Source organism: Homo sapiens, chromosome 7 (genome assembly GCF_000001405.40).
Source record: "Homo sapiens chromosome 7, GRCh38.p14 Primary Assembly".
Classification (NCBI taxonomy): domain Eukaryota; kingdom Metazoa; phylum Chordata; class Mammalia; order Primates; family Hominidae; genus Homo; species Homo sapiens.
Window position 1 is genome coordinate 136286495 of NC_000007.14, and position 12153 is coordinate 136298647.

Below are 12153 nucleotides of genomic sequence, written 5' to 3' on the forward strand. Positions count from 1 at the left end.
GGCTTGGAGACATGTGGCAAAACATGAAAATATTAATCATAAGTGGAACTCAAGTCTTAGAAGAGAGAGTAAATGGAGCATAAATAATGACCAAAATTTTTGCTTTGGTAAAAGTAATAAATTTACAAATTTAAAAAACTTATAAAAACCTAACCAGGAAATATATAAAGAAAAGCTTTCCTAGGAAAAACAAAGGCAAATTGTAGAAAACCTAAGATTAAGAGAAAATCTTGGATGTGGCTCCCCAAACTGACACTTTATATAATGGAGAATGACTATTCAAATCATTGCTGACCTCTTCTTAGAAAAAAATGGAGGCCAGAATACATTAGAACAAAATGCTCAAAGTGCTGAATGAGAAAACTATTAACCTGAAATTCCATATCCAGAAATAAAAAAATCCTTTAAGAATAAATGCAAAATGAAGACATTTTTAGATAAAAGAAAACTAAGAGGATTTTCCACTGTAGAACTGGATTAGAATAAGTGTTGACAGAAGTTCTTTAGTCTGAGAGAAAATGGTAACAGACAGAAATGGCCAATTTCAAGAGTTACTATGAAGGTATAGTAATCAAGATGATATTGGTGAAAGAACAGACAGATCAATGTAATGAAATAGCTCAGAAATAGATCTACACAATTATAGTCAACTGTTGTTTGACAAAGATGCAAACACAAATCAAGAATGAATAGTTTACCTATACATCTATATTTGTCAAGACCCAGGAAATGTACACTTAAGATTTATGCATTTCATTGTATGCAAATCTTGTATCAAAAGAAAAAAATGAGCAACTAATGAACTTTAGTTAATATGCATGCTGAAAGATTTAGAGGGAAATGTTTCAATGTCTTCAATTTACTTTGAAATGTATTAAAAACAAGATGGGTTGATGAATGATTAGAGGAATGAATAAATATGTGATAAAGCAGTTTTGGAAAACGACAGTGATAGAATCCAAGTGGCAGCTGTGTAGGGGCTTGAGGTATTATTTTTCTCTGTATATTTAAAATGTTTTGTGATAAATATTGTAAAAAATATTTATGGATCACCCACTATAAACTGGCATTGGGTTGGGGCCATGATCTCCCAAATCAAGAATAAGTGGTTGTTTATTCTCAAAAATCTCCTAGTTTGGGGAGAGAAACAAACATGTAAACCGTAGAAATACTGTACTCTAAATTCAAGAGAGATGAATCCAAGTTGTTATGGTGACATAGAGGAAGGTCCTGCCAACCAAACCAGGGGGGTGGTCATGGGTGGTAAGGGAAGCTGTCTGGTTTGAGCTGATGTTTGCGCTGAGTCCTAAAGGATAAACAGCAGTTAACCAGATATGTGGGGAAAGATGGCAATGGGAGGAAAGGGCATTTCAGGTAAAGGAGACAGCCTAGGCAAAGATCAAAAGCATACAGTGTGTAAACACTTGCATTTTGGTGTAACAAATGTTTGACTTATAAAAAGAAATTGATAGAATATTAAATGTAATAAAAAACTACATATTTCAGGTAGGGCTCTTCTACGGGGAGCTGTAGAAGGGTTTTAAATAAGGCAATGACATGAATGCATTTGAGTTTTAGACTGACTACTCTGGCAGCTGTGGAAAACAGAATTGAAGTCTTGCCTCTAAAAGAGTAATTAGAAGGTTGTTACAGTAATGAGACTGATGAAAGTCTGAACTAGGACTTATATTTTAAGAATGGGGGTAAAGGGGGCCTCAATTTAAGACATAGGAAGAAGGCAAGGTTGGATATGGGTTTAGGGTGAACATATAATTTACCTTTTAAAAAGGGTACTTTTGAGAGTAAAAGTTGGCATTTAATACTTATGCCAGGACAATGGGCATTGCATTGACTGGAATAGGTTGGGACAAATGTCTTCCAACTTATTGTCATCCAAAATATGGAGGAACAGGGATGGGAGGCAGGAGGCTAGAATGACTCTGAGGCTTCTAGCTTGGCTGACAGAGATAGAAAGGAAAAGGTTTGAAAGTAAAGATGATGAAGTACAAAGAAATTTATGATTCATTTATTCCTGCTCTAAGGAATTTAAAATTTGGAGAAAACTCAACTTATGTTTGACTATATTTGTCAAAGATGTACGTGGCATCTAAGCTGGATTATAAAGGATATAGGATTTAGATCTTCCAAAAAGATAGGCAACTTAAGACAAAGGTGAGCTGTGTGCCTAGAGCTCTGAAAAAATCTTTTTAAATAGAGTTGTTTTTGGATTATCAAAGCAATCTAAAATAGAAATAACTCAAGTACCCATTATTAGGATTATAGGGGTCCAAGAGAGAAATAGACACAAATGACAGACATATGAGGTTAATAGATTCACTTTATTATTACTAGATCTGGCCTGGAGCAGGTGGCTTGGACTTGCAACCACTATTGTGCTTTCTGAGATCCATTCCATAAATTTGGATTGTGGGCCATCTCATGGGAAGAAGAGTCTCTAAGGCAGATAATTTGCAGTCACCACGATATTCTTGTTGTTAGAGCTATAACATCTAGATGGAATTCCTATTCAGATAGAAAATTATCCATCCAAAAGAGAAAACACTGTCTCATCTATATCAAGCCCTGAGAAAGGGGTCAAAGAGATAAAGCCAATATGTGTCAACCTGACATTTATATCATTATCTTGCTCCAATCAGAAAAGTAAATTAATTGTCAGATTCTTTTAAATGTATACCAGTTGGATAGCTCATTCCTCTTCCTATGTAAGAAAGTGAATAAGGGGTTGGAAGAAGAGATAAAAGTTTTACTGACCTGCTGTCCTTTCCTGGAGTAGAAGTTATTTTACGGCATCATGAAGGTAGGAGAATATGGTCGCCCTCAACACTCTTTATATCTCTGACAAAGCTCAAGTCCAATTTTGCTACCCACTTCAGAAATACATTAAATATGTACACATGCAGCAACACACCCTTACAGAACACTCCCACTGTGATAGCTTGCCTGCAGTTCTCCCTTGTTTTCTTCACCCAAATGGTTTCTAGGCATTGACATCCTCATATTTGTATACATTCCATTACAAATTCTTTAAACTGTAATTTTATTTTGCCTCCATTTGTACTTGATTGATTTCTTTCAAACAAGATACACGTTTTGATTGCTGTTTTCATAATGAATTCTATACCACCAGGTCTCAGGGATATTTACAAGGTAAAATTGATCTTCTCTGCTAAGTCTCAAGTTCACCTTGACTTTTTCCCCTAACCGATATGGTATGTACTGGTATCACTGGTATATCTGCTAAAATAGGTGTAGACTTTTTGTACATTCAACTATGTTTTTTTTTTTCAATACTAGGAAACTCATCTGCTGTTAATCTTTTTTTTTTAACATCAGAAGTAAGGGTCTGATATTTCCCCTATTGTAATAGAAAATCTTGTCTTCCTTTTGGATGTCTACTTAAATTCTTCTCAATCAGAATAAAAAATGTTTTCTTCTTGGTCATCGTGATAGACTTTCTGTCTGAGGCATTTTATAACCTCTAGGTAGAAGTCAAGGGTACATGCCCTAATCTCTCTTTCCAAAGGCAACAAAGAAGTGCCCCAATATATGTCTTCATCATGAAATTAGTGGGTCTTGGTGGGTGGAGGAAAATCTCTCTCTCAGGACTGGATGACATCATTGGAGCCTCTTTTCTCCTTATTTTTTCTTCCCTGGCTGATGGGTTGGGGTGCACTTCTATTTGGAAAGAGTTCCTGGTCATGGAAGACCTAGAAGATCTGGGTAATAAGAGAGGAGTGGGCCTGGTAAGGACTGCTTATGTGAACCTGGTTCTAGAGAGGTGAGAAATAAGCCATTCAGCCCCATTTTAGTTAAAGCCTAAAGCTAACCATTACAAGTATGGCCCATAGCTCATCCAGCCCAGTGTTAGGGAACATATCACAGGCCTATCCTTATATTTACGTATGGAGGCTGCTGTTACATTCTCCAGGAGGAAACAGTATCAGAGAAACTTGTATCCAATTTCCTCCTCCAATGGAGAGAGTGAGGCAAATCCAATTAGTGAAAATGGGGAGTACTTGGATGCTGCTTGGCCTTATTAACAGGGAGCATAGCTACTGCACTGTGGCTCTGATGACACAGGGAGTGACATAAAAGGCCTTGCAATAGTCTTTCATCCAGATTTATTGCCAGTAAAGCTGGTAGTTGGATCTCACCTTTAGCTAGCTATTTATGTTTGTCTCCTGGAGGGGACACATGAGAAATGGTAATTTGAATACCACACCCCCCTGAACTTTCAGCATCCAGTTTACCAAGGCAGTAGCTTACAATGATATTTAGATTCCAAATAATTAACTAATAATAGAGCATTTTATTTCCTTGGAGAATGTTCTGTGCCTAGTGCTCCCTCCCTACGCAGTATTACCAGCTACAGTGTCAGCTAGTCAAGATTCAGAGCCTTAAGACCTCAGTCAAATATCTTTTTCTATCAGCTGTAATCAACATCCGCTAGGCAAAGCCCTGTTGTTTGTGGAAATTTAAGTTTTGGTCTAGAAAACCTACCTATATCTGTATCTATCTATATCTATATCTATAGCTACATCTATATCTAATCTATATATCATCTATATCTATATCTGTGTCTGCATCTAATCTATATCATCTATATCTACATCTAAAATATATTCTCCAATAATTTATTTCTCGTATTATTTCCTTTTAAAGCCCAAATACAATGTGAAAGAAATGGTTCAGTCGTTTCCTTTCATGTGGCAAAGGGATCCTAGACATGGTCATTATAGTTAGCATGATACAGATATAAAATAGGACTTAGGAGGGGAAAATGCAAAAGCAGAGAAGTGAGAAGCAGCAGAGCACATGCAATTCCTCAAGCACTTTTTTTTTTTTTTTTTTTTTTTTTTGCCAGAAAGTTGTTGATCCAACCTGGGCATAGCTGAACTGAATGAATGCACCATGGCCAATGATTCAGTGGAGGACCTTGCCCCTGCAATGTTCTCCATACTTATAGGGGCTGTATCTAAAGATATCTATAGGGATTGTATATTTATAAAGACTGCCTGTTTTTAAAGACTAGTTGTCTAGTTCAGAGTTGGCAAAATTTTTCTGTAAAGGGCTAAAGAGTAAATAATTTTAGCTCTGTGAACCACAGGTTCTGTTGCAGGTACTCACCTCTGCCAGCATAGTATGAAAGCAACCATAGCTAATATGCACATTAATAAGCATAACTGTATATCAACAAAACTTTATTTACAAAACAGGTAATGAGTCATATTTGACCCACAGGGCCATAGTTTGTCAACCCCTTATGTAAATAACAACGTAAGCATGAGTGCTTTTTGTTCAAAAAGTGGTCTTCATGGAAGGAGAAAACTTTTGGATCTCAGTAACTGGTGTTCTTCTGTTGAGCTAACTTGGACTTCCTGAGGCAGCTCTCTGCTAAGCTACCCAGAGACATAGAAATGAATCTCCAGGACCAGATTCTATGAGCACTATTACTCATCTCACGTGATTCTATAGGAGTGGATAGGAGTCACAGCAAAACTTTAGAAATATGTGTCTGAAGTCACAGTCTCTAATTCTTTACCTTTCAACCCACTATAGTAGAGTACCTGTCCCCACCATGCTATTGAAACTTACCTTGTCAATATCATTATTAATCCCTGTATTGCAAAATTCAAAGATTGCATCTACTTGTTCTTCTTAATCACTCTGCAGCATGCATATGTAGCTGATGGCCCTGTCTTTCTAAATGCTTTGTCTTTTCTTGGCCTCTATGACACCACATTTTCTGTTTTCTTTCTACCTCATTGGCTACTCTTTCTAGTTGCCTATGTTGACTCCTTCAATACAGGCTCTAAATTTTAAAACGAGTCCCACGCAATTAGCTTCTCTTTATTTTCTCTTTCCCCATACCTAATCTCACTTAGTACTTTGGTTTAAATGACATTTACATTCAATGATTCAAAAAATTTATAACTCCAGTTCTGGCCTTTCTCTTGAGATTCAGAGCCATTTATACAACCACTGTTTTGACCTCTGCATTTGGCAGTTTAATGGCCATCTCAAGTTTAATATTTGCAAGGCAGAAGTAAACCTGCTTTTTTCCCCAATTTCCACTCTCTGTTTGTTGCACCATCCTCCCACTTGGCTGGGTAAATGCTACCTTTCTTTGTGTCTCTTTCTCACAAGCTCCAGATCCCAGTCATAAAAAACATAGCCCAAGCCAAATACCTTCTCTCCATCTGTACTAATCCAAATCATCTCTCTGCCTGACTATTGCAGCAGCCTACTAACTGTTCTTCAAATTCTTCTCTTTTCTGGTTACAACATGTTCTCCAGGGAGCAATTGCAGTACTTATAAGGTAAATCGAATCATGTCTCTCTTCTGCAAAGAATTTCTAATTATTTTTTGGTATACTCAAATAAAATCCCCTAATTTTGTATATTATTTGCACCCACCCCACAACTCTCTAATCTCATCTTCTATCACTCTCCCTCCTTTCCTTTATTCCAGCCACATTGCTTGTTCTTGCTGTAGAACTTATTGTACCAGCTGTTTCTTCTGTCTGAAATGTTTCTTCCCCCATTGTCTTTGCATCACCAGTTCTACTTTTGAGTCTCAGCTCAAAAGTCATTTTCTTAGTCCTTTACTTATCAACTATCCATCATTTTACTCACCACCCATAGATATGGTCTATTATGTCCTTGTTTTTGTTTTCCTCCTAGCTCTTACCACAACGATAAGTGTGTGTTTAGATGAAACCCTGTCTCTACTAAAAATACAAAAATTAGCCGGGCATAGTGGTGGGTCCCTGTAATCCCAGCTTCTTGGGGAGCTGAGGCAGGAGAATTGCTTGAATCTGGGAGACGGAGGTTGCAGTGAGCCGAGATAGTGCCACTGCACTCCAGCCTGGGCAACGGAGTGAAACGCTATCTCAAAAGAAAAAAAAAAAAGGAAGTGAGTAGTGAGTTCCTGATAGCAGAGGTGTCCATTCTTCACTGTTTATTCAGCCTGGTTTGTTTCATAAGCAGTTGAATCTCAGCGGTGAGCCACCAGCATCTATGATGCATCTCTTCTTCCTGCGGCAGTTGATTGGTTTTCTGGATCTTTTGAAGCTACAAATCTTCCTTGATATAGAGAGTATGGGCTGCCTCTTCCCCAAGGAGTGACTCTAGACATTTTTCCCCAAAGTTACAGTCTTCTACCTACTTCGTCTTTATCTCCTCGTATGTTTTTAGAATATTTCCCTTTCAGATTCTCTTTGATTATGATACATATTTATGTATGATAATGATTTCATGAACTCTTGACTTCAAAATTGGGACAGTTCCAGTTCATACCTGTGGTATCAGCATAATTATTAATGGCACCCATTTTTGTTCCCAGAGTTGTCTTGGTTTGGACAATATATTATATCAATATATAGTCATCCTCACTGTATGCATTCACTTCTGCTCTTTTGTCACTGAACTTCTGTTCTGCCAGTTTTTATCTCTCATGGTGAGGAGTCTCAGGTGGCATTGCATTCTTAGTGCATCCCCAGGGACCCTCATCATGAACTGCCACATCTGGCCATTGAATTCAAATTTGGGCTTTGCAGCCACTGTCTTTTCCTACCTGAGCAGACAGACTAATTTATCTAGGTGACACAAATTAGCAATGAACCATTATCCACTCCTTAGAGTTGCTGAGCTAGGCTTTGCATAGGGAATTGCCTGCCTCAGAAAGCTGAGTCATCAGCAAAAATCTCACAGCCTTCAATGTTTGAAAACTCATCTTTCTCCTCTTCTGCCAGGTGAATTGCATGCTGTTTGTTACCAGGGTCTGCTGATCAAGACTGAAATGAGTTATTTCTTTCATTCTTTTTTGTTTTATTTTGTATTCTTTTTTCTTTTTGTATTCTTTAGCACTCTTGTGCCTCATTGACATACTCTTCATGAATCAATGGCAAACCATTTTATGTATTGATTCAGTTTGGTTTAGCAAAAATCCTTTCATGGCCACGCTTTGTTAGCCATTGATTTGTATAACTTAAGATGCTATGGTATACTCCTCTTAAATAGTCTATATTTCAGATTTCTACCACTGAATTATATTAGTCTTCACTCAAGTTAGTTATAATTTACCCCATTTCACAAGGGAATCCTATAACATGGGGTGAGGTTTCACTGCAGCAACTGTGATTTTGGCCAGATCTGTCTTAACACAGTTGGCCCTCCATATCCGCATATTCCACATCTACAAATTCAGGCAAGCCTGGATTGAAAATACTTGGGGAAAAAACCAATAAAAATAACATTACAACAATAAAAATAATATTGATAAAACAATACTGTATAACAACTATTTATATAACATTTACTTTATATTAGGTATTATAACAAATCTAGAGAAGTTTTAAGATATACTGGAGGATGTGCATGGGGTTATATGCAAATACTACCCCATTTTATATCAGAGAAATAAACATCCTCAGATTTTGGTATATGAGGTGGGTGGGGTTGGGGGGTTGAGGAGTGGAGTCCTGGAACAAATTCCTTGCAGATACCAAGGGACAACAATATTTTTTATGTTTTATTTTAGAGATGGGAGTCCCGCTATTTTACCCAGGCTGGAGTGTAGTGCTATCCACAGGCCTGATCAAGCAACAATCCTCCTGCCTCAGCCTCCAGAGTAGCTGGGACTACAGGCATGCACCTGTAGGTGGCAGGCAGGTGCCACTGCACCTGGCACTTTTTTTGAGTTATTCTGACATCATTTTGCCAACATTTTGTCTGTGGCATACACTAATCCATCTTGGCTATTCTTAGCCTATTTAATATGTATCAGTTCACTTTTGGTGGCTTTTCTTTAATCTCTGAAGATTTTAACCAACTCTATTGTTGATGCTTTAACATGCAAATGTTAATTCTATTCATTTGTGTTTAAATAAGTAAGCCATGAGATTCTTAGGTCTGAGGTTTTCTTTCTTTCTTTTTTTTTGAGACGGAGTCTCTCTCTGTCGCCCAGGCTGTAGTGCAGTGGCACCATCTCTCCTCACTGCAAGCTCCGCCTCCCGGGTTCACACCATTCTCCTGCCTCAGCCTCCTGAGTAGCTGGGACTACAGGCGCCCGCCACCACACCCAGCTGATTTTTTGTCTATTTAGTAGAGACGGGGTTTCTCCGTGTTAGCCAGGATGGTCTTGATCTCCTGACCTCGTGATTCGCCCGCCTCGGCCTCCCAAAGTGCTGGGATTACAGGCATGAGCCACCGCGCCTGGCAGGTCTGAGGTTTTCATTGTATTGTTTCGGTTTTGCTGTGTAACAAACTGCCTCAAAACTTTGTTGCTTTAAAACAACAACCATTAATTTAGCTCATGATTCCATGAGTTGGCAGTTTGGGCTGAGTTCAGCTGGGTGGTGGTGTGCTGATCTTGGCTGGACTCACCTGGCATAAATGCGGTCACATCAGTTGGCTCCGATTCTGGGGCTAGGTTGACAATTGGCTGTGGTTAGGGAGATGAGCCATGTGTCTCTCATCATCCTGCATCCTGGGCTTATTCACATCATTGAAAAGGTTCCCAAATATCAAAAGGACAAGCTCCAATTCACAAGTGATTTTAAAGCCTCTGCTTATGTTTTCATTATTGTCTAACTGGTCAAAGTAAGTCATATGGCTAAGACCAGCCTCAATTTGGAAGAGCACTGCAGAATAACATGGATGCAGGCAGCAGAATTATTAGGACTTTCTTCTTTTCTTTTTTTTTTTGCAAATAATTTTCCCAAAAGTTTGTACACTGAAACACTGCCTAATTGTGCTTTATGTGTAGAAGTCAATGAAATTATATGCATAAAATCCAGAAATCTTAATTATGAAAGTATGAAAAGAACCCCATTGTAAAATTTCACCTAGTTATATCCCATGACATAATCCTAGAGGACAATATTGTAGTCAGACTTTAATATATTTTAGTCAACTTTATAGACTGAATTATTTCTTCCCCCTAACTTCATGTGTTGACATTCTCAACCTAGGACCTCAAAATGTGACCATATTTGGAAATAGGACCTTTAAATTGGTAGTTAAGATAAAATGAGGTCGTATGTGTGGACCCTGATGCAATTTGACTGTTGCCCTCATAAGAAGAGGGGAATAAGACACAGACAAGTGTACACACAGAAGAAAGGCCATATGAGGACACAGCAAGAAGGCGGCTATATGCAAGCCTGAAAGAGAGACCTCTGTAGGAACAAAATTTGCCTACACCTTGATCTAGACTCTAGAACTGTGAGAAAATAAATTTGCATTGTTTTAAGCTGCCCCATCTGTTGTACTTTGTTATAGCAACCCAAACTGACACAGATGGTACCTAGAAATTTAAAAAAAAAAAAATCCCAGACAGGATAGATTTATTTGATGGCTTATGGGAAAGGTGATCCCTAATTATTTCAGTTGTAAACATAAAAACATGCAGGGAACTCAGCTCAATTTTGCACATAGTACTCATTCAAAATGTATGTAAGGAAAGAATATTGCCTTTATATTGCCTTTACATCTTACACAGGAGAACCAGGCTTCAAGATTGTCACATTTGCTATCCCACTCCTTAGGGCGTCTTCTCTTAATAACCAGGCAGTGGTGGTAACATGTCAACTTCTGAATCATATTCAGTTGGAATTAAAGCTGGGGGGCAGAATTTTGGGGGCAGCAGTAGCTAGGGCAAGTGACTTCTCCTGAAGCTGAGAGAGGCTCAGGTGTGCAGCAAATATGAAATAAAAGTGTGAATACAAAATATAAGAATTAAGCAAAAAGGCTTAAAATTCAAAATATAGGAAATATTCCTTCTTATAAGTTGCAGTATCACTGAATTTGTTTCTGTCTTTGGTAGATTGAGTTTTTAGCCATCTTACAGGGTTATACACACCTACCAAATAACTTCACATAGACACGGATTACTGCGTTACTTTCATGGGCATTAAATAATTAGCATGGAGCCATGGACATATGTAGACTTAAGAAATACTACACAAAAGTCTTTAAAATAATTTCAAAAACATTTAAAATATTTAGACGGGAACGATGTCAATGTCAATGACAAAAAGTCAATGCCCCTGAGAACTATATATATATTTCACTCAAGAGTACTCCTGGATAGGCACACGGTACTGATTTTAAGTGGAAAGAGTATGGGTGGGAATCAAAGGAAAAAGAGAAAATAGACATTATGAACATAGAGGCTTATCCAATCTGGAAGTGAGGTTATGGGAGAAAATGGTGGCTGGGCTAACCTCATGGCCTGTGAGGCCTTCCTACATTGACTGGGGAGTCTGGAAGGGATAGAAAACTTGGCTTTCAGTTGGAGTGGGTTGAAGAGGGGTAGGAAGGGAGAGCCCATGGCCAAGAGGAACTTTATGTGTCTTCAAAGGGAATAAAAAATGAGCTGCGAAGTGTAGCTGCTCCCCTGACCACTTTTACATTTATATGTTTGACTAAATAATAGATTCTTGTAGAAATCAAAAAAGCTCTGAAAAGTCCAAAATGTAAAATTTATGGCATTCCCATTCCTGACCTTCAGTTACCCACTTCCCATCCTTTTCTTGTTTTGATTTATACATGATCTAGGAACTGACATGCATTTTCACCTGAAAAAGAAAGAAAAACTAAACATAAATTGTGGCATACCATGTTAGTAATTCTGTATTTTGGTCTCTTCGTGTAATGCTTTTTGGACATATGCCATTTCAGTACATGTAGTGCTGAATAGGACCTAATGGGTACCTAATCAAACAGAATGTCCAGAGTGTTCTATTTTATGGACATGCCTTAGATGTTACACAGGTTTAGTGACTATATTTTAATGTTTTGGAGTTGGTTTTTCTTAGTTTTTTGAGGTAAATGCTTATCACATTACTTTTTATCGCGATGAAGAGAAGTTGGTTAATGGGTAAAAAATACAGTTAGAGAGAAGAAATAAGTTCTAGTATTTGATAGTAGAGTAGGGAAATTATACTTAATAGTAATTTGATATATATTTTAAAATAGCTAGAAGAGAATTGCCATGTTCTCAACACAAAGAAAAGATAAATGTTTGAGGTGATGGATTCCCAGTTACCCTAATTTGATCATTACACATGGTATATAGTATCAAAATATCACATGTATCTCCAAAATAAGTACAACTATTATATAGTA

At 37.7% G+C, this 12153-nt stretch overlaps 1 long non-coding RNA gene across 7 annotated transcripts in view, besides 1 other annotated feature; it reads left to right on the top strand.

The window, feature by feature from the left end:
• Positions 1 to 12153, top strand: part of LOC105375523 (uncharacterized) — a 459019-nt gene that overhangs the window by 305548 nt on the left and 141318 nt on the right. The gene's annotated exons all lie outside the window — the stretch shown is intronic.
• Positions 5893 to 6093: a silencer, noted in NCBI's record as "peak6758 fragment used in MPRA reporter construct". NCBI's record gives its function as "represses an SCP1 promoter by STARR-seq MPRAs in K562 erythroleukemia cells {active_cell/tissue: K562}" and the evidence as "EXISTENCE:reporter gene assay evidence [ECO:0000049][PMID:32103011]".